Source organism: Homo sapiens, chromosome 19 (genome assembly GCF_000001405.40).
Source record: "Homo sapiens chromosome 19, GRCh38.p14 Primary Assembly".
NCBI lineage: Eukaryota > Metazoa > Chordata > Mammalia > Primates > Hominidae > Homo > Homo sapiens.
In genome coordinates, this window is record NC_000019.10 from 45709970 (window position 1) to 45733419 (window position 23450).

The 23450-nt window shown below is 51.6% G+C and overlaps 1 protein-coding gene across 6 annotated transcripts, besides 10 other annotated features; it reads right to left on the minus strand.

Annotated features, from left to right (window-relative positions):
• Window positions 1-659: 659 nt before the first annotated feature.
• FBXO46 (F-box protein 46) lies at window positions 660-23208 on the minus strand. 6 transcript variants are annotated; one of them, XM_047438538.1, is made up of 3 exons: window positions 20880-20927; window positions 13504-13916; window positions 660-3604 (listed from the first exon to the last, which is right to left on the minus strand). In XM_047438538.1, the coding sequence occupies exon 3, from the start codon at window positions 3524-3526 to the stop codon at window positions 1715-1717; it is 1812 nt and encodes a 603-aa protein (XP_047294494.1). In that variant the 5' UTR covers window positions 3527-3604; window positions 13504-13916; window positions 20880-20927; the 3' UTR covers window positions 660-1714. The 6 variants fall into 6 exon arrangements, with proteins under 6 accessions (XP_047294494.1, NP_001316562.1, NP_001073938.1 ...); NM_001329633.2 differs by lacking the exons at window positions 13504-13916; window positions 20880-20927 and adding an exon at window positions 22966-23208; NM_001080469.2 differs by lacking the exon at window positions 13504-13916.
• Window positions 6987-7657: an enhancer, noted in NCBI's record as "NANOG-H3K27ac-H3K4me1 hESC enhancer chr19:46220214-46220884 (GRCh37/hg19 assembly coordinates)". NCBI's record gives its function as "activates a minimal SCP1, AML or CMV promoter by ChIP-STARR-seq in naive and primed H9 embryonic stem cells {active_cell/tissue: H9 hESC(naive and primed)}" and the evidence as "EXISTENCE:reporter gene assay evidence [ECO:0000049][PMID:30033119]".
• Window positions 7658-8328: an enhancer, noted in NCBI's record as "NANOG-H3K27ac-H3K4me1 hESC enhancer chr19:46220885-46221555 (GRCh37/hg19 assembly coordinates)". NCBI's record gives its function as "activates a minimal SCP1, AML or CMV promoter by ChIP-STARR-seq in naive H9 embryonic stem cells {active_cell/tissue: H9 hESC(naive)}" and the evidence as "EXISTENCE:reporter gene assay evidence [ECO:0000049][PMID:30033119]".
• Window positions 7771-7820: an enhancer, noted in NCBI's record as "active region_14815". NCBI's record gives its function as "activates an Ori minimal core promoter by ATAC-STARR-seq in GM12878 lymphoblastoid cells {active_cell/tissue: GM12878}" and the evidence as "EXISTENCE:reporter gene assay evidence [ECO:0000049][PMID:35858748]".
• Window positions 10681-11181: an enhancer, noted in NCBI's record as "H3K27ac hESC enhancer chr19:46223908-46224408 (GRCh37/hg19 assembly coordinates)". NCBI's record gives its function as "activates a minimal SCP1, AML or CMV promoter by ChIP-STARR-seq in primed H9 embryonic stem cells {active_cell/tissue: H9 hESC(primed)}" and the evidence as "EXISTENCE:reporter gene assay evidence [ECO:0000049][PMID:30033119]".
• Window positions 12062-12356: a silencer, noted in NCBI's record as "tiled region #3721; K562 Repressive non-DNase unmatched - State 14:Gen5'". NCBI's record gives its function as "represses a minimal TATA promoter and a strong SV40 promoter by Sharpr-MPRA in K562 cells {active_cell/tissue: K562}" and the evidence as "EXISTENCE:reporter gene assay evidence [ECO:0000049][PMID:27701403]".
• Window positions 12062-12396: a biological region, named in NCBI's record as "Sharpr-MPRA regulatory regions 3721 and 14243".
• Window positions 12102-12396: a silencer, noted in NCBI's record as "tiled region #14243; K562 Repressive non-DNase unmatched - State 14:Gen5'". NCBI's record gives its function as "represses a minimal TATA promoter and a strong SV40 promoter by Sharpr-MPRA in K562 cells {active_cell/tissue: K562}" and the evidence as "EXISTENCE:reporter gene assay evidence [ECO:0000049][PMID:27701403]".
• Window positions 19782-20076: a silencer, noted in NCBI's record as "tiled region #6016; HepG2 Repressive non-DNase unmatched - State 2:TssF". NCBI's record gives its function as "represses a minimal TATA promoter and a strong SV40 promoter by Sharpr-MPRA in HepG2 cells {active_cell/tissue: HepG2}" and the evidence as "EXISTENCE:reporter gene assay evidence [ECO:0000049][PMID:27701403]".
• Window positions 20925-21034: an enhancer, noted in NCBI's record as "active region_14816". NCBI's record gives its function as "activates an Ori minimal core promoter by ATAC-STARR-seq in GM12878 lymphoblastoid cells {active_cell/tissue: GM12878}" and the evidence as "EXISTENCE:reporter gene assay evidence [ECO:0000049][PMID:35858748]".
• Window positions 21125-21254: an enhancer, noted in NCBI's record as "active region_14817". NCBI's record gives its function as "activates an Ori minimal core promoter by ATAC-STARR-seq in GM12878 lymphoblastoid cells {active_cell/tissue: GM12878}" and the evidence as "EXISTENCE:reporter gene assay evidence [ECO:0000049][PMID:35858748]".
• Window positions 23209-23450: the final 242 nt, after the last annotated feature.

The following is a 23450-nucleotide window of genomic DNA, read 5'->3' on the forward strand; positions in this document are numbered from 1 at the left end:
CAATCCCAGCACTTTGGGAGGCCGAGGCGGGCGGATCACGAGGTCAGGAGATCGAGACCATCCCGGCTAAAACGGTGAAACCCCGTCTCTACTAAAAATACAAAAAATTAGCCGGGCGTAGTGGCGGGCGCCTGTAGTCCCAGCTACTTGGGAGGCTGAGGCAGGAGAATGGCGTGAACCCGGGAGGCAGAGCTTGCAGTGAGCCGAGATCCCGCCACTGCACTCCAGCCTGGGCGACAGAGTGAGACTCCGACTCAAAAAAAAAAAAAAAAAAAATTTAAAAATTAGCTGGGTATGTGGCGTACACCTGTAGAAAACCCAGCTGCTTGGCAGGTTGAGGTGGGAGGTTTCCTTGAGCCCAGGAGGTTGCTGCAGTGAGCTGTGATCATACCACTGCACTCCAGCCTGGGTGACAGAGAGAGACCCTGTCTCTAAGGGAAAAAAAAAAAAAAAAAAATCTTGTTCAAGCTACTACTATTTTGAGATTTTTCAAATCCAAATTGACACAGATGAGAAGAGTAAAAAATAATCTCAGGCTAAGGGACTTGGCTAGGGATCCCTTCTCTTTCCACTTTTTCCATCCCCCATACACAGGCCTACAACTCCCCTCTCTTCCCAAACCCTCCCTTCACAACACACAAACCAGTCTGCACACAGCCTTATAAATATTGATTTTATAGAAAGGACCAATTCAAAATTGGTCAGATGCCACACGCTAGAAGCTTCCAGAACCACGATGGAAAGAAAAAAAAGAAAACAAAAAACAGAGAGAACAAACAAAAATACCCCAGACCAAAATGCCTGAAAAATCAAGGTCCTGGTTGACCAAAGGATTCTTAAAGAAACATGTGGCTGGGGTGAGGAGACCCCAATGCCTGAACGAGACCCCAGAGTGGAAGGAAAAACAACCCAGAAATGCAAATCCGAAGTCCCTGCCCACGGGGCCCCCCCACGCTGTCAAAAGCGAGGCAAAGGGCTTCACAGCTTTATGGGGGTGGGGTTGATGGCAGTAGCTTAAATAATAACGGGAGGAGGAGGGTTTTTATACTTCAGCTTTTTTTTTGTCTGCCCCCCTCTTCCTCTACGCGGAAGAGGAGAGACTGGTAGCTTGAGGTTAAGGAGAAAACAGTATTTCCCCCCCACTTCTTTAATAGGCAAACCATCTAGAAATGGACTGTCATAAAAAAATGCCAGATCCCACCTGTGACCTGACAGCCCCCAATTCCTAGAGAGGTGAGAGCTGTCGTGTGGCAGGTTAGGAGAGGTGCCAACCTTGGGCGATGCGGCTTCTTGGGAAATAACAGCTCCAGCGAGAAAGAATTGGGGTGAGGGAGAGGATGGGGGCCAGAATGGGGGGACCCTTAAGTGGTACCAAAATTAGCTGCCGTCTGCTCCCTGCTGGTGGGTCCTTGGGGTGGAAAGCATGGCAGGGAGGGGGTTGGGGCTGAATGGAGAAGAAAGTGAGATGCTGATAAAAAAAAAAAAAACACCCTTCTCAGAGGGTCCACGGCCCTGGTTCTGAAGAGTAGAAAATCAACAGGATCAAGCAGAGGGCTTTCCTGGGTCACCCCTGCTGAACCCCAGCTCAGTTCCGGTGAGGGATCAATGCTGCCTGGAGTAGGGGAATGGGCAGGCGGCCCAGTCCGGACCCTCGGCTCCCGGGGGGAGAGGGGAGGGGTGGGCGTGGTGGGCTCTCCCCTCCCCTCCCCCGGCTTCACCTCCCCTCCTCCCGGCCGGCCCGGCCCCCGCCTGGCCCATTGCAGGGCAGCACCCAGTTGTTATCGTGGAGGCCCAGGCGGCAGCCGGGAGTCTCGCGGTCGGCTCGACGGCAGCACATCCAGTAGGAACGTCCGTAAGGCAGGTCATGGTGGTAGGGCTTGGGGTGCCAGCGGCAGAGCGACACGTCGCCCTTCTCGTATCTCTTGCGGCACTGTTTGCACGGATCATCGCGGTAGAGCGGGTCTCGGCTCCAGCGCGAGTCTGTGGCCCGCACGCCAAACGCCTCGATGATGCCCTTGAAGTGGTGGCAGGTGCACTTGAGGGCGGCCAGCGCGCGCGTGGGCAGGAAGCTGAAGATCTTGACCAGCACGTGCTCGGGCAGCAGCAGCATGTACTGTCGCGGCTCCAGCAGCCGCTGAATCTTGAAGCGGATCTCTAGGAAGTCGTGCGACACGTGCCGGTACAAGCGGCACAGGGAGGTGTCCGCCGTGCCCTCGGCATCGTCTGGGCCGGGCGCAGTGGCCGGGGAGTCGGCCGGGGGTGGCTCCGGGGGCCCGTCCGGCCCGCGGTTCTGGAGAAAGAAGAGCTGGCCCGGAGGCGGCGGTTCCTCCGGGCTGACCGTCAGGCACACAGTCTCCTCCTTCACGTTCTTGGTGCCGTCCTTGCCAAAGAAGATGCACTCATCTACCACGCCCGTCACCACCACGTCCACGTGGAAGCCTGACGCTCCGCAGTCCCGGGCAGGGGGCGGAGGGGGCGCCGGGGGAGTGTCCTCAGGCCTGGCGGGTGCCGGGCTGTCACCCTCACTGGCCTCATCCGCCCTGGCCAGCAGGAACTCCACGTTGCTGGGGAGGGCATCCCGCGAGGGGCTGATGAGCTGGTATAAGTCACATGTGATCTTGTCCTTGGCTCGGGCCCCAGGACCTGGGCTGCCAGGGTAGGCACAACCAGGCCTGCCCCCGCCCCCACTGGGCAGGCCGCTGTCTGGTGCACGGGGCTCCCGGCCGTTGGAGATGCGGAAGGCGATGCGCACCTCCCCAGGGCCTGGCCCGGGCCGCTCTTCCTTGCGGAGGCCCTTGGTGGGAGGGCTGTCCCTCTGCGCTTCAAAGTGGGCCACGGCCTCGGCTACACGGCTGCAGTCCCCACCACCGGACCGCCGTTCAGATCCCACCCCCTTGGCCGGTCCACCTTGCTCGGCGGACACAAAGACTACAGGCGCTGGGGTGGTCGGTCGTGGGTAGCTCTGCAGGGCCAGGGCTGCCCGCTGTTCCACCAGGGCCACCATCTCGGCCACAGAGAGCAGGTCCACGTCCTCACCGGCTGAGGCGGGGCCCTCCTCAGCAGCAGGGGGGCCCTCCCGGCCCCCTGGGTCAGGAGGAGCCTTGGTGGGGTCAAGACAGCGCCTCCGCCGCTTGGCCTTGGAGCTATCGCTGCCCCAGTGCCCCTTGACCTTCATGGAGCTGGCCCGGCTGCCCCCACCACACTGGTGGGCCACAAAGAAGGCCACCTTCTCCTTTGTATTCCCGGGCTTGATGACATACCACGTGTCCAGGAGGACTCGACCCTCATCACCAGCAGCTGCTGCTGAGAGGAGCGGAGCCGGCTGGGAGGCAGGGACCTCAGTGGCCAAGGCGGGTGGTGTGTTCTCTGAGTGGGCAGGCCCATGGTCTGGCTCGGCCCCGCCACCAGGCTCAGGGCAGGCTGATGGCTTGAGGGCCGCAGAAGGCGGGCGTGGCTGGTTCTGTGAGTAGGTGCCAAAGGGCCGGGGGCACCATAGCTGGAAGGGCAGGAGGCTCCCACGGTCCATGCTGGGGGATGATGGCAGACAGGCTGGGCTTCAGCGCATCTCAGGACCTAGGTGGTGGTGGGAGGCTCCACATGCCACCTGGAGACACGAAGAGGAGGTTGGGGAGCTAGGGGGACAGCCTTTCTTCCCAGGACCACCCCAACCTCCACCTCTCCTTAGACCAAACCAGACCATCAAGAACTCTATTCCTGGCTGGGCGCGGTGGCTCACGCCTGTAATCCCAGCACTTTGGGAGGCTGAGGTGGGCAGATCACCTGAGGTCAGGAGTTTGAGACCAGCCTGGCCAACATGGTGATACCCCATCTCTACTAAAAATACAAAAATGTGCTGGGCGTGATAGTCCACGCCTGTAATCCAAGCTACTTGGGAGGCTGAGGCACGAGAATCGCTTGAACCTGGGAGGTGGAGGTTGCAGCGAGACCAGATGGCACCATTACACTCCAGCCTGGGCGACAAGAGCGAAACTCCGTCTCAAAAAAAAAAAAAAAAAAAAAAAGAACTCTATTCCCACTGCCATGCTCAGGTGAGCAGACAGAGGTTGCAGAGGGGATGAGAGATGCCCTTTTAACTTGCAGAGCGGGACCCTAACTGGCAGCACGCACCAACCCCATAGGTCCTACCCCACTGTCCAACTGCCTTTGCCCACAATCCAGAGGCCTTTAAACTGCCATAACTTTTACACTTAAGTGAAAGGACCACTGACAGACAAGGTCCTTTTTCTATTTGCTCACTCAGTAGCTCGTTCCTGAAAAGACAGAAATTCCCAGCCCCACCCACAGCTATGGCTGCTTAAACCCACAGAGAGAGGAACGAAATGCGCTGGGATGGGGATGAAAATCTGAGGTCAGATTCAGACAAGCACTTAAGAAATCGGCTTTTCTTTTTTTTTTTCAGGTAGTGGGGCTTAATGAGAATTTATTAAAGCTGTGTGTCCTCAGTCAGAAAAATGCACACCCTTGCAAAGACAGTACAGGGGATTCCCTAAAGCACAGCCGTGGACCCGCGGAGTAAGAGGGCCTGTTCTAGAGCCTAGGAGGAGTTCCAGGCTGCAGGGAGCAATGATGGCACCACTGCACTCCAACCCGGGTGACAGAGTGAGACCCTCTAAAAAACAGAGAACAAAGCCGGGTGTGGTGGCTTGTGCCTGTAATCTTAGCACTTTGGGAGGCCGAGGTGGGCAGATTGCTTGAGCCCAGGAGTTTGAGACCAGCCTGGGCAAAATCCATCTCTACGAAAAAAGATACAAAAATTAGCCGGGTGGGGTGTGGCGCACCTGTAGTCCCAGCTAGTTGGGAGGCTGAGGTGGGAGTATCGCTTGAGCCCAGGAGGTGGAGGCTGCAGTGAGCTGTGATGCTGTGATCATACCACTGCACTCCAGCCTGGGTGACTGAGAGAGAACCCATCTTGGGAAAAAAAAAGAAAGAAAACACGAGGGTGCCTGTTCTAGCCTAGCTTTCTCCTCAAGCTGCACACAGATAAACAGAGGCTCAGAGTGGGGAAGGGTGACATAGCTAAGATTACAGTGGGTCCGGAGCAAAAAGAGGCTCTCAACTTGATTTCTGGACTCTTCAATTTAGGGCTCTGTTAATGACTATTTTATTTTGGAATGACTTGATGTGAATGACCTAATCTGGAGGCAATCTTGCGCATGAGTCCGACATGATCACTTTCACTGCAGTTTGAACCTACTAAGTAACATATGCCTCAATCTTTCTCTGGCTCATCTCCCTCCAGACAGCTCAAAACCAAAATGACCCTTTAAACCTTGAAACTTCCACATGCCTACAGGCCAGAGAGGTCAGCAAACTATGGCCCAGAAGCCTAATCCAGCTCGCTGTCTTTGTAAATAAAGTTTTATTGAAACATGCTCATTTGTTTATGGATGCTTTCATCTTCAACAGCAGAGCTGAATAGCAGAACAAAGACCACATGGCCTGCAAAGCTTAAAATACCCATTATCTGGCTCTTTATGGAAAAAGTTTGCCAACTCCTGCAGTACAGACCATCCCTCTAAATTCAAACAATTCCAGGCCTGGCACAGTGGCTCACACCTGTAATCCCAGCACTTTGGGAGGCCGAGGCAGGCGGATCATCTGATGTCAGGAATTCGAGATCAGCCTGGCTAACATGGCAAAACCCCGTCTCTACTAAAAATACAAAAATTAGCCAGGCGTGGTGGTGCGCGCCTGTAGTCCCATCTACTCAGGAGGCTGAGGCAGGAGAATAGCTTGAACCGGGAGGCGGAGGTTGCAGTGAACTGAGATCTTGCCACTGCACTCCAGCCTGGGCGACAAGAGCTAAACTCCATCTCAAAAAAAAAAAAAAAAAAAAGAAAGAAAACAAAACAAAATCCAGACAGCCTCCAAGCACTCACAGGTACCAGTAAACACAGAGAATCCCCATGTCAAGAATCTTTATCTCCACTCCATAATCCCCAATCCCACCTACCCCTCAAATACTTACAGTCCCTGCTGTAATCTCAGCTCAGTGTTAAAAATATCACTCCACAGCCTCCAAAACCTATAGATGGCTGTTTACCAACCACCAATTCACATACATGTTGAGTATCTCAAATCTGAAAATCCAAAATGCTCCCAAATTCAGAACTTTTTGAGTGCCAAGATGACACTGATAGGATATGCTCATTAGAGCATTTCAGATTTTTCAGACTTGGCATACTCAACTGATAAGTATAATGCAAATACTCAAAATCCGAAGAAATCCAAAATCCGAAACACTTTTTAGTCCCAAGATTTTCGGGTAAGGGATACTTGACCTGTATAACCAACTGCCCAGGGAGGCAGGCTAACACAGCAAAAGCCAGTCTCTACAGATGCCATCCTGCTACAACCTGGCCACCCCCTCAAGTCCCCTAATCAGTTCCAACCTTACCCCCAGCATCTCAATGTCCTCCCCCAAATATCGAAAAGCTTTCAAATACTACTTTAAACCACCGAACCTAAAAATATCCTCTCCAGCACTGAAGGGCCGAATCTCAGTCAATCTCTCACAGATCCCAACACAGCAATTCCCCAAACTATGTCATAAACAATCACTCTCCCGGAATCCTATACTCCCCCCAACCCTCCTCCATTATCTCCCAATTCCACTAGAAGCCTCCAACAGCAGACGAACTCTTTGAAAACACAAAAGCTCCCTAACACTTTAAGATGAATCTTAAACCATAAAAATGTTTCACAAAGCCAAAAAAAAAAAACAAAGAAACCTCACAAATGTTACAATAGCAGACATGTGCTTACTGCACGCTCGCTGCGAGCTTACTAGGTAGGTACTGCGCTAACAATTCCTAATCCTCCTCGGTCCCTAGGAAGCAGGTAGTGTTATTAATGCCTAGTTCCCGATGAGACACAGGTGAAATCTCCTGTCCGGGTTAAGACAGGTAGGAAGTCAAGACGCGAGCCCAGACATTCCACCTCCAGGACTGGTACTCTCGGGCTCTTTGCTTCTGTCTCTCCGGGAGCTCCCCAAATTCTATGCCCAACAAACACTCCAAAACACAAAGGGAACCCGATCCCGAAAACACAACCGAACCTTCCGCATTACAAACGAACCCAAACTCCAAGGTGCCCCTTAAGCGCGAGAGAACCCCAAAAGTATCCCCTAAACCCACGTTAAAACTTCCCCAAGCCCCAGAACATTTTGCAAATGGAAAAGGAACCCCCAAATCTTGTAACCGCCCCCCCAAAGAAATCTTCCAAACCCCTCAGGTGACCCTCGAAACCTACACACGCCCCCAAAGAGCCCTCACCCGCAGCCCCCCCAGGCGGCGGGAGAAGGCTGCAGCCCACACGCATGCGCGCGAAAGGTAAAAGGGCCCGCCCCCTCGCTCCTTCCCTCCGGCCACCGCGCGGGCAGACTAGCAACTAGCTTCCCTCCGCCCTTTTGTTGACAGACGCGCGCGTGACGCTCTCAGCCAATGAGCGGCCGCCATTCGGGGCCGTGCCCATATAAGGCAGGCCTTGGCGAAGGGGCCCAACTTCGAAATAGGGAGGAGTAGGCGAGAGGTGATGGGAGTGGGTGGTGGGGTAGACACAGCCGGATGCAAGGGAGCGTGGAACAACTCCCAACGTCCAGCTAAACGGAACAAGGTCAGGGCAAAGGCCACGACACTCCAGGGGAGGCTTATTACACCACGTCCCCTCGAACAGAAGCCCTGATTGACGCTTGAGACTTAAAGGGCCAGGCAGCCCGGGGATTAAGAACACCAAGGCGGAAGGAAGCAGGCGGAGAGATCAGAGTATCCAGCTTTGGTTGGGAACTGTGGGGGCGGGGGGCGGGCTGAGGATTTCCGCGGGGGGAATTGGGCATCGGGATAACCCCACCCTGAAAAACAAATGGACAGAACCCTACGAAGGTTCCCACGGCAACTGAAAACAAGCCTCTAGGCCTGGCGTTCAAGGCTCAAGCCGTGTAGCCATTCGGAGCTGCCAGTTCAGCCTTTCCAAACAGGCGCCCCAAACCTGCCTCACTTAGTACAAAAGAGCAGCCAGAAAAGTCCTGTTAAAGCACAGTCCTATAAACCTGAACCCGTCCCTATCCTGGTGAGAACCTGCCATGGCTCCCCAGTGCCCTCTGGAAAACACCCAGGTACCCCACCTGTCCAGTCGCATCCCTCCCCACTCCTCCGCCCCGCAGGCAATACCCCAGTGCACCCTGGTGGGCACCTGATCTGGCATACATAGAATACTCAGGACCCATCTGATCCCCGGTAGGAGTGATCGTCTCCACGGTATGGATGAAGAAACTGACGCAGGGCAGGTCTCCTGACCACAAGGTCACACAGAGCTGGAGTGTGAGCTGGAGCAGGGATATGAAGCCAGGGAATCTGATTTCCTAGTCACTGTGCCCTACTGTTTCACTATATATTCCCTGGGGTTTCAGCTCGACCACCCCTCCTCTAAGAAGCTGACACCCCCAATCCCCCTAGGCCAGGTCAGGCTTCACCCAGGGCGTCCATGCGGTGGGCTCATTGCTGTCTATTCCTCAAAGTTACCGGGCTCTTGCCTTCCCTGGTCTCTGCATTTGCTGTTCCCACCAACTGCAATACATTCCCCCTCTGCAAGGCTCAATTCCTTACTTCATTCAGGTCTGTGTTCAAATGCAGTTTTATTAGAGAGGCCTTCTCCAACTCCCTTCCTGGAAATCACCCACCTGCCCAGAGGGGACCTCTGGGTTCCCTCTTCCCTGCCTACTCTGGGTCATCGTCTGGGGTGGGTCTCTCTCCAGGCCTGAGACAGGATCTTCTAACTCCCCCACACTGAGCCCAGCATAAGGCCCTACACTAGGTCAGCCTTCAGCAACTACTCCATGAAAATCTATTCATTGTAAAACATTGTGAACCAAAAATATGGAAAATCAAAAGACGGCAAAAAACTGGCTGGGAAAACACGAACCAAGAGACAAGTAGAGGAGTAACATTACCCCTTAAAAAAAAAAAAAAAAAAACTTGGCCAGGCACGGTGGCTCACACCTGTAATCCCAGCACTTTGGGAGGCAGAGGGGGGACACAATCCCTTGAGCTCAGGAGTCTGCGACCAGCCTGGGCAACATGGTGAAACCCCATCACTACAAAAAATACACAAATTAGCAGGGTGTGGTGGCACGTGCCTGTAGTCCCAAGTACTCAGGAGGCTGAGGTGGGAGGATTGCTTGAGCCCAGGAGGTAGAGGCTGCAGTGAGCTCAGATCAGGCCACTGCACTCCACTCTGGGTGACAGCACGAGACTGTCTTAAATTAAATTAAAAATAAATTAAATAAATAAAAAATAAATAAACTGACAAAAGCAATGGATGATGACGAAACAAAATGACCAATTATTTACTTCTCTACATGAGTCCCTAGGGCTGGGGGAGGGAGGTGGAAGTGACCCATTATACACAAAAGTTCTCAACATACATGATCCAAATACTATGGCTTCCAAATAGATAAAGCAAAAAACGACCATCTCTACACATGACAGCCATAAACTTACAAATGACAAGGGAAAGTTTGTTAAATCCACAATTGATATGGGAAAACAACATATTTCTAAGAAAAGACTGCTTGGGAAAATTAGTAAGGACCTGAACCACTCAATCTACACCCTTGGTTGAATGCCCCCAACAATTAAATAATCCACATATTTACATCCCTAGCATACATACATACATGGTGCATTTGCAAAAACTTGTCTCTGACATTCACTGTGGTCCTGCATGCTGGCCATTGTTGGGCGCTGGAACACACAGGTGACACTGAGCTCCCCAGGAATGGCTCATGGGAAAGGGGTCAGACATCCAAACAAACAGTCAGAACCAACATGAATATATTAGAAAATGATAATCACAACAGCAGTCAATACTCGAGCACTCTACAAATATGAACTTGTTTGATTCTTCTATCTCCTATTTTTAATTTCGTGTTGAAGATAAGGAAACTGAGGCAGAGAATGGCTAAGTAATTGCCCTCATTTATAGCTTTGTAGCAGAACTCTGTTTTTGTGAGTGTGTGTTTTGTTTTTTGTTGTTTTCTGAGATGGTCTCACTGTCACCCAGGCTGGAGTGCAATCTCGCCTCAACGCAGCCTCAATCTCCTGGGCTCAAGTGATCCTCCCATCTCAGCTGCCTTCTTTTTTGTTTTTTTTTTTAAGACGGAGTCTTGCTCTGTTGCCCAGGCTGGAGTGTAACGGTGCGATCTCGGCTCACTGCAATCACTGCAACCTCTGCCTCCCGGTTCAAGCGATTTGCTTGCCTAAGCCTCCCAAGTAGCTGGGACTACAGGTGTGCGCCACCATGTCCAGATAATTTTTTCATTTTTAGTAGAGATGGAGTTTCACCATGTTGGCCAGACTGGTCTCGAACTCCTGACCTCAGGTGATCCACCCCACCTTGGCCTCCCAAAGTGTTGAGATTACAGGCGTGAGCCACTGCACCTGGCCTAATATTTGTATTTTTAGTAGAGACAGGGTTTCACCATGTTGATCAGGCTGGTCTTGAACTCCTTACCTCAAGTGATCCACCCGCCTCAGCCTCCCAAAGTGCTAGGATTACAGGTGTGAGCCACTGTGCCCAGCCTATCCCAGCCTTTTGAGGAGCTGAAACCACAGGTGTATACCAGCACGCCCAGCTAATTTTTACATTTTTTTGTACTGATGAGGTCTCACTATGTTGCCTAGGCCAGTCTTGAACTCTTGAACTCAAGCAATCCTCCACCTTGGCCTCCCCAAGTGCTGGGACTACAGGCAGGAGCAACCACACCAAGTCAGAACTTAGAATCAAAGATCAGCTGACTCCAGAGCTCAAGGTCTAAACTACAATATAAACATCATCCTGGCTGGGCGCAGTGGCTCACACCTGTAATGTGGTGGCAGGCTCCTGTAATCCCAGCTACTCAGGAGCTTGAGACAGGAGAATCGGAGAATTGCTTGAACCCAGGAGGCGTGGCTGCAATGAGCCGAGATTGCACCACTGCACTCCAGCCTGGGTGACAGAGCAAGACTCTCAGCCAAAAAAAAAAAAAAAAAGAAGTGAAGCGGGGAAAAAAACAACAGAATAAACCAAACAAATAAGGAAAAATAGGCCACGTGTGGTGGCTCGCGCCTGTAATCCCAGCACTTTGGGAAGCCGAGGCAGACAGATCGCTTAAGCCAATGAATTTGAGACCAGCCTGGGCAACATGGCAAAACCCCGTCTCTACTAAAAATACAAAAATTAGCCAGCATGTGCCTGCAGTCACAGCTACTCGGGAGGCTGAAGTGGGAGGATCGCTTGAGCCCGGAAGTGGAGGGTGCAGTGAGCTGAGATTTTGCCACTGCACTCCAGCCTGGGTGCCAAAGCGAGACCCTGGCTCAAAAACACCAAAACAGAAAGAAAGAATGGAAAAATAATGATAAATGGTAAAGCGTAGATGTCTGACCCCACCCCACTTCCCCATCCCCACCCCTAGTCAGATGACCCCGCTCCCCATCACAGGGCCAGGGTCACACCCAGCACAAGGCACTTGCCCAGTTACATGGGAATTGGTGGCAGGACACCAGGGTTTCGTTCCTGGTCCTGTTCCTTTTTTTTTTTTTTTTTTTGACAGGGTCTTGTTCTGTCACCCAGGCTGGAGTGCAGTGGCACGATCTCGGCTCACTCGAACCTCTGCCTCGTGGGTTCAAGCAATTCTCCTGCCTCAGCCTCCCAAGTAGCTGGGACTACAGGCGCCCGCCACCACACCCGGCTAATTATTTATATTTTTAGTAGAGTTTCACCATGTTAGCCAGGATGGTCTCGGTCTCCTGACCTCGTGATCCACCCAAAGTGCTGGGATTATAGGCGTGAGCCACCACGCCCGGCACCACCCCACCCTTTTTTTTTCTTTTTTTGAGATGGAGTCGTGCTGTTGCCCAAGCTGGAGTGCAGTAACACGATCTCGTCTCACTGTAACCTCCACCTCCCCTGCCTCAGCCTCCTGAGTAGCTGGGATTATAGGCACCTGCCACCATGCCCGGCTAATTTTCGTATTTTTAGTAGAGACAGGGTTTCACCATGTTGGCCAGGCTGGTCTTGAACTCCTGATCTCAGATGATCCACCCACTTCCCGTAGTGCTGGGATTACAGGCATGATGCACCGCGCCCGGTCCCTGTTCCTTCTATGCCCTACCCTGCTGCTCCTTTGTCCAGAATCCTGACTCATCCATACCTCACCCATGGCTTGTTGGCCTTAGAGTCCACTGGGTCCCCTCCCTTTTAAGTTTTCCTTTCTGACTAATGGTCCCTGAAGGCAGGAATCATCCAAGCCCTGAGATCCTGGAAGCAGACAGGAACCAGACAGGGCCTGCTGGATCCCAGCTTTCCCACCTCTGGCAGTATGACCTCAGGCAGGTTTTTCAGCCCCATGTGCCTCAGTTTCCCCCACTGTAAAATGGCAATAATGACAGCATCCACCCATGGGCTGGCTGACCATCCGCTGAAACAAACCCAGCAGAGCACCTGGTACCAGTTTGGCACTGAGGCGTAGCTCACACCTGTAATCCCAGCACTTTGGGAGGCCCAGGCAGGCGGATCACAAGGTCAGGAGATCGAGACCATCCTGGCTAACACGGTGAAACCCCGTTTCTACTAAAAATACAAAAAATTAGCTGGGTGTGGTGGCGGGCGCCTGTAGTCCCAGCTACTCAGGAGGCTGAGGCAGGAGAATGGCGTGAACCCGGGAGGCGGAGCTTGCAGTGAGCCGAGATTGCGCCACTGCACTCCAGCCTGGGCGACAGAGCCAGACTCCGTCTCAAAAAAAAAAAAAAGTGGGCTGGGTGTGATGACTCATGCTTGTAATCCCAGCACCTTGGGAGGCTGAAGCGGGCACTTGAGGTCAGGATGAGACCAGCCTGGCCAACATAGTGACACCTTGTCTCTACTAAAAATACAAAAAATTAGTTGGGCATAGTGACAGGCGCCTATAATCCCTGCTACTCGGGAGGCAAAGGCAGGAGAATCGCTTGAACCTGGGAGGTGGAGGTTGCAGTGAGCTGAGATTGTGCCACTGCACTCTAGACTGGGCTACAGAGGGAGACTCCATCTCAAAAAAATAAATAATTAAACATAAAAATTGAAAGTGAAGGCTGTGGGTGGTGACTCATGCCTTAATCCCAGCACTTTGGGGGGCCAGGGCAGAAGGATCGCTTGAGCCTTGGAGATCAAGACCAGCCTGGGAAACAAAGTGAGACCACATCTCTAAAATAATTTTTTAAATTGGCTGAGCATGGTGGCATGAGCCTGTAGTTCCAGCTACTCGGGGAGGCTGAGACAGGAGAATCCGCTGGGCCCAGGAGTGTGAGGCTGCAGTGAGCTATGATCATGCCACTGCACTCCAGCCTGGGCAACAGAGGTGGGCCCTGTCTCTAAGTAAATAAATGAATGAAACACTTGTGGATTACTTAGGGAATGAACGCTAATTTTCCAGAGGAGGAAACTGACGTCCAACGGGATCAAATTACTTACCCTAGGTCACACAGCTGATGAGAGGTGAAGCCAGGACTCAAAGCTGGGCACTCTGGCTTTTTCATTTTATTTTTGTTTTGTTTTGCTTTTTGTTTGAGATGATCTCACGCTGTCACCCAGGCTGGAGTGCAGTGGTTCTGTCACAGCTCAATGTAGCTTCAACCTCCTTGGCCGCCAAGCCCAACTAATTCTTCTTTTTTTTTCTTAGACGCAGTCTCACTCTGTCACCCAGGCTAGAGTGCAGTGGCATGATCTCAGCTCACTGCAACCTCTGCCTCCCAGGTTCAAGCAATTCTTCTGCTTCAGCCTCCCGAGTAGCTGGGACTACAGGCGTGCGCCACCACGCCCAGCTAATTTTTGTATTTTTAGTAGAGACAGGGTTTCACCATGTTGGCCAGGCTGGTCTTGAACTCCTGATCTCAGGAGTTCAAGAAAAAAAAAAGAAAACTTGTGCTTTTAGGAGTAAGACAGCTTTACCATAGCAGTTAGAAATACATCATTAAACGTGGTAAAAAATACAATTTTTTTCTTCGTTTCCTAGTACATGTCACAGGTTTTGAAATAAAGATGGTAAAAATACCATTTTGTATGAGTAAGCTTCAGACAAGCACAGGCTGAAAACAAATTTAAGATTTCAAGAAAAGGCAAAATAACTTGGAAAGCAGACAAATGCTCTAAGACAAATAAATGAAGGCAACGGAAAACAAAAAAGTGTCAGATCACCCCAGGGTGGCCAGATGTGACACATAGGATCAGGGACAAGTGAGAGACTGGCAACTTTTCCCCAAACCAATAGGTTTTCAGATAATTCAATGAGGGCTGGAGACAGAATGTTAAAAAATCCATGAAAGCAGTGACAAGCAGGCCAAGCTGGCATAAGGGGCTGAAAATGAATTGGGAATAGAGAAACCCAAACTTGAAAATGAGCACAAATGCTCGCATACTTGCAGAACTGCCCTACCATTATGACAACAGCAAGTTCCCCAATGGCAGGGTCGAGTCTGCACCCAATACAGGCGCTGGCACATGGTAAGTGCTCTATTAACACTTGTGGGCTGGGCTCTGTGGCTCATGCCTGTAACCCAGCACTTTGGGAGGCCGAAGTGGGAGGATCACTTGAGTCCAGGAGTTTGAGAGCAGCCTGGGCAATATAGCAAGACCCTGTCTCTACAAAAAAAAAATTTCTTATTTTTTCTGTTCGAGACGGAGGCCTGCTCGTTACCCAGGCTGGAGTGCAGTGGTGCAATCTCAGCTCACTGCAACCTCCGCCTCCTGGGGTTCAAGTGATTCTTGTGCCTCAGCCTCCCGAGTAGCTGGGACTACAAGCACACGCCACCACGCCTGGCTAATTTGTATTTTTAGTAGAGATGGGGTTTCACCGTGTTGGCCAGGCTGGTCACAAGCTCCTGACCTCAAGAGATCTGCCCATGTAGGCCTCCCAAAGTGCTGGGATTACAGGCATGAGGCCACTGTGCCCCATCAACAACAAAATTTTTTTTTTAATTAGCTGGGCATGGTGGCAAGCACCTGCAGTCCCAGATACTCTGGAGGCTGAAGCAGGAGGATCACTTGAGGCCAGGAGCTTGAGGCTGCAGTAAGCTGTGACTGCACCACTGTACTCCAGCCTGGGCAACAGAGACAGGCCCTGTCTCTAAATAAATAAATAGGCTGCGGTGGCTCAACCCTGTAATTCTAGCACTTTGGAAGGCTGAAGTGGGTAGATCACTTGAGCTCAGGAGATCGAGACCAGCCTTGGCAGCATGTATTATTCATCTCTACAAAAATTACAAAAATTAGCCAGGTGTGGTGGCATGCCCCTGTAGTCCCAGCTATTTTGGAGGCTGAGGTGAGAGGATGGCGTAAGATCAGGAGGTGGAAGTCACAGTGAGCCAAGATAGTGCCACTGCATTCCAGCCCGGGCAACAGAGCCAGACCCTGTCTCAAAAAATAAATGAACAAATAAATAAATAACTAAAACACTTGTGGGCCAGGTGCGGTGGCTCACACCTGTAATCCCAGCAGTTTGGGCAGGTCGACAGCTTGAGTCTCATTGTTCAGGACTAGCCTAGGCAACATGGCAAAACCCTGTCTCTACAAAAATTTTTTTAAAAATTAGCCGGGCATGGTGGTGTGCGCCTGCAGTCCCAGCTACTTGGAAGGCTGAGGTGGGAGGATGGCTTGAGCCCGGGAGGTAGAGGTTGCAGGGAGCCGAGACTGTACCACTGCACTCCAACCTGGGCAATAGAGCCAGACTTTGTCTCAAAAACTTAAATAAAAATGAATAAATAAACACATGGACTACTTAAGGAATGAACCCCATTTTCCAGATTCAAAGTTGGGCACTCTGACTCCAGAGTGCATTTTTCTCCCTGTTTTCTTTTTGTTTTGTTGTTGCTTTGATTTTTTTGTTTGTTTGTTTGAGATGGTCTCGCTCTATCACCCAGGCTATAGTGCAATGGGGCAATCAGAGCTCACTGCACCTTCCACCTCCTGGGCCCAAGTGATCCTCCCGCCTCAACCTCCAGAGGTGCTGGGACTATAGGCTCATGCCACCAAGCCTGACTAATTTTTTAAAAAATTTATTTGAGGCTGGGTGCAGTGGCTCATGCCTGTAATTTCAACACTTTGGAAGGCCAAGACGGGCGGATCATTTGAGCATAGGAGTTCAAGACCAGCCTGGGCAACATAGTGAGAACCCGTCTCTACAAAAAAGATACAAAAATTAGCTGTGTGTAGTGGCATGCAACTGTAGTCCCAGCTATACTCAGGAGGCTGAGGTGAGAGGATCACTTGAGCCCGGGAAGTTGAGGCTGCAGTGAGCTGAGATCGCACCACCGCACTCCAGCCTAGGAGACAGAGCAAGACTCCATCTAACAACAACAACAAAAAAAATGGCTGGGCACGGTGGCTCACACCTGTAATTCTAGCACTTTGGAAGGTTGAGGCGGGTGGATCACTTGAGGCCAGGAGTTTGGCACCATCCTGGCCAACACAACGAAATCTCGTCTCTACTAAAAATATAAAAATTAGCAGGGCATAGAGGTGTACACCTGTAATCCCAGCTACTTGGGAGGCTGAGGCAGGAGAATTGCTTGAACCCAAGAGGCGGACGTTGCAGTGAGCCAAGATCATGCCACTGCACTCCAGCCTGGGCAACAAAACGAGACTGTCTAAAAAAAAAAAAATTGTTTGTAGAGATGAATTTTCCCTGTGTTGCCCAAGCTGATTTCAAACTCCTGAGTTCCACTGATCCTGCCACCCTGTTAATCCCAGCCTCCCACCTTGGCCTCCCAAAGTGCCAAGATTATAAGCATGAGCCACCTTGCCCAGCCTCAGTACCTTTTCTTGAAAGAATAAAAATCATAGAAAGACCTCACACTTATTGAGAGCATAATACACCCCAGGCATTTTATATATGCCACCTCATCAGTTACCACGTCAACTCCTTACGAGAAGCTCAGAGTTTAAATGTGGTCCCATTTTTACATGAGAATACTGAGGCTGGCTGGGCACTGGGGCTCATGCCTGTAACCCCAGCACTTTGGGAGGCCTAGGCGGGTGGATCACTTGAGGTCAGGAGTTCAAGATCAGCCTGGGCAACGTGGTGAAACGCTGACTCTACAAAAATTAGGCAGGTGTGGTGACACACGCTTGTAGTCCCAGCTACTCAGGAGGCTGAGGTGGGAGGATCCCTTGATCCTGGGAGGTGGAAGTTGCAGTGAGCCAAGATGATGCCCCTGCATGCCAGCCAGGGCAACAAAGTGAGACCCTGGTTCAAAACAAAAAAAAAGAAAAAAAAAAAGAGGTCGGAGCAGTGGCTCACGCCTGTAATCCCAACACTTAGGGAAGTCAAGGAGGGTGCATCACCTGAGGTCAGGAGTTCGAGACCAGCCTGGCCAAGATGGTGAAACCTCATCTCTACTAAAAATACAAAAATTAGCTGGGCGTGGTGACACAAGCCTGTAATCTCAGCTACGCAGGAGGCTGAGGCAGAAGACATCATTTGAACCCGGGAGGCGGAGATTGCAGTGAGCCAAGATCACACCACTGGCCTCCAGCCTGGACAACAGTGAGACTCTGTCTCAAAAAAAAAAAAAAAGGGAAAAGAAAACTGAGGCCCAGAGTGGGAATGCAGCTTGGCCAAGGTCACACAGCAACAGAAGCAGGGTTTTGACCCTGCGCCTCTCTGAAGCCAGTGTTTTCAACCATAAGCTTACTATCACAGCCAATGAATTAAGCCCAGAAAGCTCACAATAAACCAAACTGTTTCAAGGTGAATTTACAAAGTTGTCAAACTGCCCAATGAGGCCTTAATGACCCAAAAGTTAAACGAACAAAAGCAAACTAACAACAACAACAACAAGAAAAACCTAGTTAGAAATATTTTCTCTTCACTGAAACACCTGGAGTAAGGCCAGACTGGGTATTTGGCGGGGACAGGAATGGGAATGGGGACACACTGAGTTTCCTTGTTCTTTTTTTTTGAGACAGTCTCACTCTGTCGCCCAGGCTGGAGTGCAGTGGCACAATCTTGGCTCACTGCAACCTCCACCTCCTGGGTTCAAGAGATTCTCCTGCCTCAGGCTCCTGAGTAGCTGGGACTACAGGCGCCCGCCACCACGCCCAGCTAATAGAGATGGGGTTTTGCCATGTTGGCCAGGCTGGTCTTGATCAAACTCTTGGCCTCGGGCAATCTGCCCGCAATGGCCTCCCAAAGTGTTGGGATTACAGGCATGAGCCACCATGCCCAGCCCACAGATTGAGTTTGTAAGCACACTCTCCAGAAGTCGTAATTGGATTTAGGAGCCCAGAGGTGGAGGGCAGGGACATGGTGACAACATGAGAGAGAAAGGAGACAGCCTGACATCTTCCCTCTTGGTTCCTCTCTACTGCCTTCTCTTTCCCACTGACATTCAAAAACAACAACTCACACGTACTGAGCCCTTCCATAAGTATTGGAGTAAGGGCTCATAAAGTAAGTTCCACTATACTGCATTATCTTCCCGAAACTTCTCACCTTCCTAGGGTTACTGATCCCATTTTATAGGTGAGAAGAACCCAAAAGAAGAACCCTTGCCCAGGGCCAGGCGTGGTGGCTCACGCCTGCAATCCCAACACTTTTGGAGGTTGAAGCAGGAAGACCCCTTAAGCCTAGGAATTTGAGACCAGCCTGGGCAACAAAGTAAGACCCGCGTCTCTACAAAAATAAAAATAAAAAATTAGCCGTGTGTAATAAAAAATTAGTCCCAGCTACTTGGGAGGCTGAGGTGGGAGGATCGCCTGAGCCCAGGAGGTTGAGGCTGCAGTGAGTCATGATTGCGCCACTGCATTCCAGCCTGTCTGGGCAACAGAGCGAGACCCTGTCTTTAAAAAAATAAAAAGGCTGCGCGCAGTGGCTCACGCCTGTCATCCCAGCACTTTGGGACGCTGGGGCGGGCAGATCACCTGAGGTCGGGAGTTCAAGACCTGTCTCTACTAAAAATACAAAATTAACCAGACGTGGTGGCGCATGCCTGCAATCTCAGCTACTCGGGAGGCTGAGGCGGAGAATTGCTTGAACCCGGGAGGCGGAGGTTGCGGTGAGCCAAGATTGCACTCCGCCTGGGCAACAAGAGCGAAACTCCGCCTCAAAAACAAAACAAAACTAAACAAAAAACCATAAAAATAAATATAGGGCCAGGCGCAATGGCTCACGCCTGTTAATCCCAGCACTTTGGGAGGCCGAGGCGGGTGGATCACCTGAGGCCAGGAGTTCAAGACCAGCCTGACCAACATGCAGAAACCCTGTCTCTACTAAAACTACAAAAATTAGCCAGGGCGTGGTGGCACATGCTTGTAATCCCAACTACTCAGGAGGCTGAGGCAGGAGAATCGCTTGAACCCGGGAGGCAGAGGCTACAGTTAGCCATACCACTGCACTCCAGCCTGGGTGACAGAGGGAGACTGTCTCTAAATAAATAAATAAAAATAAATAAAAGACTTGCCTAAGGTCATATAGCAAGTAAATGGCAGAACTAATATTCTAGACTGCTTTGTTCGCTGTCTCTACTCATCACATTGTATATTTCAGTATGGAGAGAGGACTAAATTATAGTGCTGAAAGCACAGATTCTGAGCCAGGCTGCCAAGATCGGAATCCTGAGTCTAGCAATTAATGCTGGATAGCCTTGGGAAAGTTGCTTAATTTCTCTGTACTTCTGCTTCCTTTCTGTAAAATGGAGAAAATAACAGCACCTACCCCTCAGGGGTGTTATCAGAATTAAATGAGTTAATGTGTACAAACAGCTAAGGACAGGGCCAGGCATTTTGTAAAACAATAAGCGTTAGCTGTAATCCACAGTGGGGAGCCCCTACATGCTTCTGAGCTGGGGTGTGTGCCCAGATCAGTGCCAGCTTTTGAGAAAACGCCTCTGGGACTGGACTGGAAAGGAGGAAATCCATTAGCACCTGTAACCCAGTCACATTCCGGGGGCGGAGAACTTCCCACCAACAGCTCTGAGACTGAAACTTCACAGCCCAGCTCTCCCACTAATAGTAACGATTTTAATGACTCCCTTTAACCCTGTTCTCAGAGGCATGCTTGCTGTTCCCATACTACAGATAAGGGCACTGAGGCTCACAGATTTGTCCATGGCACAAAGGGGTGGAAGAATAGGGGATATGAATGCTGTACTTCTCATAGGGATAAACCATTACACTCTTCTAAATTCCACCGGGGAAGTGAGGGTGCGAAAGCCTGTCTCGATGGCCCTTTCTGGCCGTATTATCCTACAGTTCTGTGCCTGTCCAGCTTACCGGGAGTCTCTGGCGGGACTAGGGAAATTATCACTACATCCAGGCCCCTAATTTCACGCTCCTTACCCCACCCTCAGTCCTGGAGCCTAAACCCACACTCTATCCTACCACTGATTTCTCCCTCCTACCTCCTCAACTTGCCTTCCTGCCCCCAATCCGATCCAGAGGCCCCAACCCATTGCGTCCACCGTTCGCCTGTCCCTTGGAGCTTCCAGACCCCCTCACTCATCCTAACCCTGATCCTCATACCCTCGCCGCAGGTTAAGCCCCCATCGAAATCGACCCCTTCAGGGCCTCTACCTGGATGTCCAGCCCAGTCTCCAACTCGGGGCCCACTTCCCCAGCTCTGAGCCCCTTTACAATCAATTCCAAAGCTCCACTCCCACCCCACCTCCAAGACCCCTCCCCAAGCCACCATTCTTCTACTACTACCTCCGGCTCCCATTCCTCCCAGTCCTCTCCCCCAGGCAATCTCCCCTCACCCAGCCCCTTCTTTCGCCCCTGCCTCTTCCCCCTCGTCACCCGGTCCCGAACCCCCGTCCCGACTCTCCAGCGCCCCCGGCCCGCGCCTGGGCTCTCACCATCGCCGCGCGCTGCATCTCCCTCGGCTACGCGGGTTTCCCCCACTCGCTCCTCTCCAGCCTCCCCTTCCGGGTTCTCGTCCCGAAGCCCGCTGGGAATTGAAGTCCGGGCAGCCACGGACTACATCCCCCAGAAGGCAGCACGGTCAAGCTTGGAGGTGGGGTAGGAAGCAAATTAGGCGGGCGGAGGAAAAGAACGACTCGAACTCCCGGGAGACAAAGCCGGGGAGGACTTGGCAGCGCAAGCGCAGGGTGCTTCCCCGCTGGGCGCGCTGGGAGATGGAGTCTAGCCAGGAGGGCTCCATTTTTGCCCGAGGCCCTTGGGAAGGGAATTGAGAATATTGCAATAGGGTGTTGGTGAGGGGTGGAGAGTTGGGGAAGAGCAAATTTATTGATTCATTTGTGCCGATCAACACAATAGCTAACAGCTCCTTGTGCTTTTCCAAACTCCTTCCCATCCATCCCCTTCTTTTTTTTTTTTTTTTTGAGACGGAGTCTTGCTCTGTCACCCAGGCTGGAGTGCAGTGGCGCAATTTCGGCTCACTGCAACCTCCGCCTCCTGGGTTCAAGCGATTCTCCTGCCTGAGCCTCCTGAGTAGCTGGGATTACAGGAGCCCGCCACCACGCCCGGCTAGTTTTTGTATTTTTAGTAAAAACGGAGTTTCACCATGTTGGTCAGGCTGGTCTTGAACTCCTGACCTCATGATCCACCCGCCTCGGCCTCCCAAAGTGCTGGGATTACAGGCGTGAGCCACCGCGCCCGGCCCGTCCCCTCCTTTCTTACCTCCTGATTTACAAATGAGAAAATTAAGCCTTAGGAGGAAGGAAAGTCCCATACATTAGGAGTTAGTCCACATCATAGAATAGCAGCTCCACATCGCTCGAGCCCAGGAGTTCGAGGCAGTGAGCTAGTGTTACACCACCGCCCTCCATGCAGTTCAGCCTGGGCGACAGAATGAGACCCTGCTGCCTCTTAAAATAAAAGAAGGCCGGGCGCGGTGGCTCACGCCTGTAGTCACAGCACTTTGGGAGGCCGAGGCGGGCTGATCACAAGGTCAGGAGATCAAGACCATCCTGGCTAACACACTGAAACCCCATCTCTACTAAAAATACAAAAAATTAGCCGGGCTGGGTGGCGGGTGCCTGTAGTCCCAGCTACTCGGGAGGCTAAGGCAAGAGAATGGCGTGAACCCAGGAGGCGGAGCTTGCAGTGAGCCGAGATCGCGCCACTGCACTCCAGCCTGGGGGACAGAGCGAGATTCCGTCTCAAAAAAAAAAAAAAGAAGAAGAAGAAGAAGAAGCTCCAGGAGGGCAGAGATCTTTGTGTACCTTGTTCAAGCACCTAGAACAGCGTAAACATGTGTTCAGTAAATATTTATTGCATCGGAACTATATGCCAGACACCCTACAGACAACCCTGGTAGGAATTACAATCCCAAATTTATAAGGCAGAAAGAGATTAAGCCTCTTGTCGCTGGCAACACAGCCAAGAAAACGATTTGAACTGAAATGTATTGGATTTCAGGGTTTCTACTCTTGACTAGGTCGTTAGATCATCTCCCCTTAAGACGTATTTTCCAGGCTGGGTGCGGTGGCTCATGCTTATAATCTCAGCCGGGAGACTGGCTTTAGTCCAGGAGTTTAAGACCAAACTAGGCAGCAAAGTGAGACCCTCGTCTCTACCAAAAAAAAAAAAAAAAAAAGCCCAAATCTTTTATTCTTTTTCTTTCTTTTTTTTCCTTTTTTTTTTTTTTTTTTTTTTTGAGACAGAGTCTTGCTCTGTCGCCCAGGCTGGAGTGCAGTGGCGATACCAGCTCATTCAACCTCCACCTCCCAGGTTCAAATGATTCTCCTGCCTCAGCCTCTGGAGTAGTTGGGACTACAGGCGCGCCCCACCATGCCCGGCTAATTTTTGTATTTTTAGCCGAGACGGGGTTTCACCATTGTTGGCCAGGCTGGTCTGGAACTCCTGACCTCAAGTGATCCGCCCGCCTCGTCCTCCCAAGAAGGCCCAATTCAAATGGCCCTCCTCTTTGAATCCTTTCCCAACGTATTGTTCTCTGCATTAACCGAGTTCCCGTCTCACCGGATTCTCATGGTCTCGGAGGTTCTCACGGTCTTCTCGATTGTACTGGGAAGACAGTGGCTAAGTTCCCACCATCTAGCCTGGTGCTTGGCACACAGGAGGCCCTCATGAATCACGAACTGAAGGGAAAAGGTGGAAATGGGACATCATAGGGCCAGAAGGGACACAGGCGAGCTCGCTCTCTCTCTCTTCCTGAGAGTTGGCAGTTGAGGAAACCCAGCCTACTTGGGATGCAACGGCCCTGGACCACGCGGGTCGTGCAGGGGCGTGACCGCTTAAAAAGGCGGGTGGCTGAGCGGGCGCTGATTGGTCACCTAGCGGCTCACGCCGACCAAGGCCTTGTCAGAAGGCTCGAGGCCGAGCTCACGCTGTGCAAGACGACAGGGCCCTTCCCGAGGCGCGCGTGCGCACGGCCACTTGCACCCTGCCCTTTCAACCCCGTCGTCTCGTGCCCAGCACATCTTGGCTGGAACTGGTAGGGGCGT

Coding starts and splice junctions, on each gene's coding strand:
- FBXO46 (NM_001329633.2), bottom strand. CDS start 3,526: ATGGACCGTGGGAGCCTCCTGCCCTTCCAGCTATGGTGCCCCCGGCCC.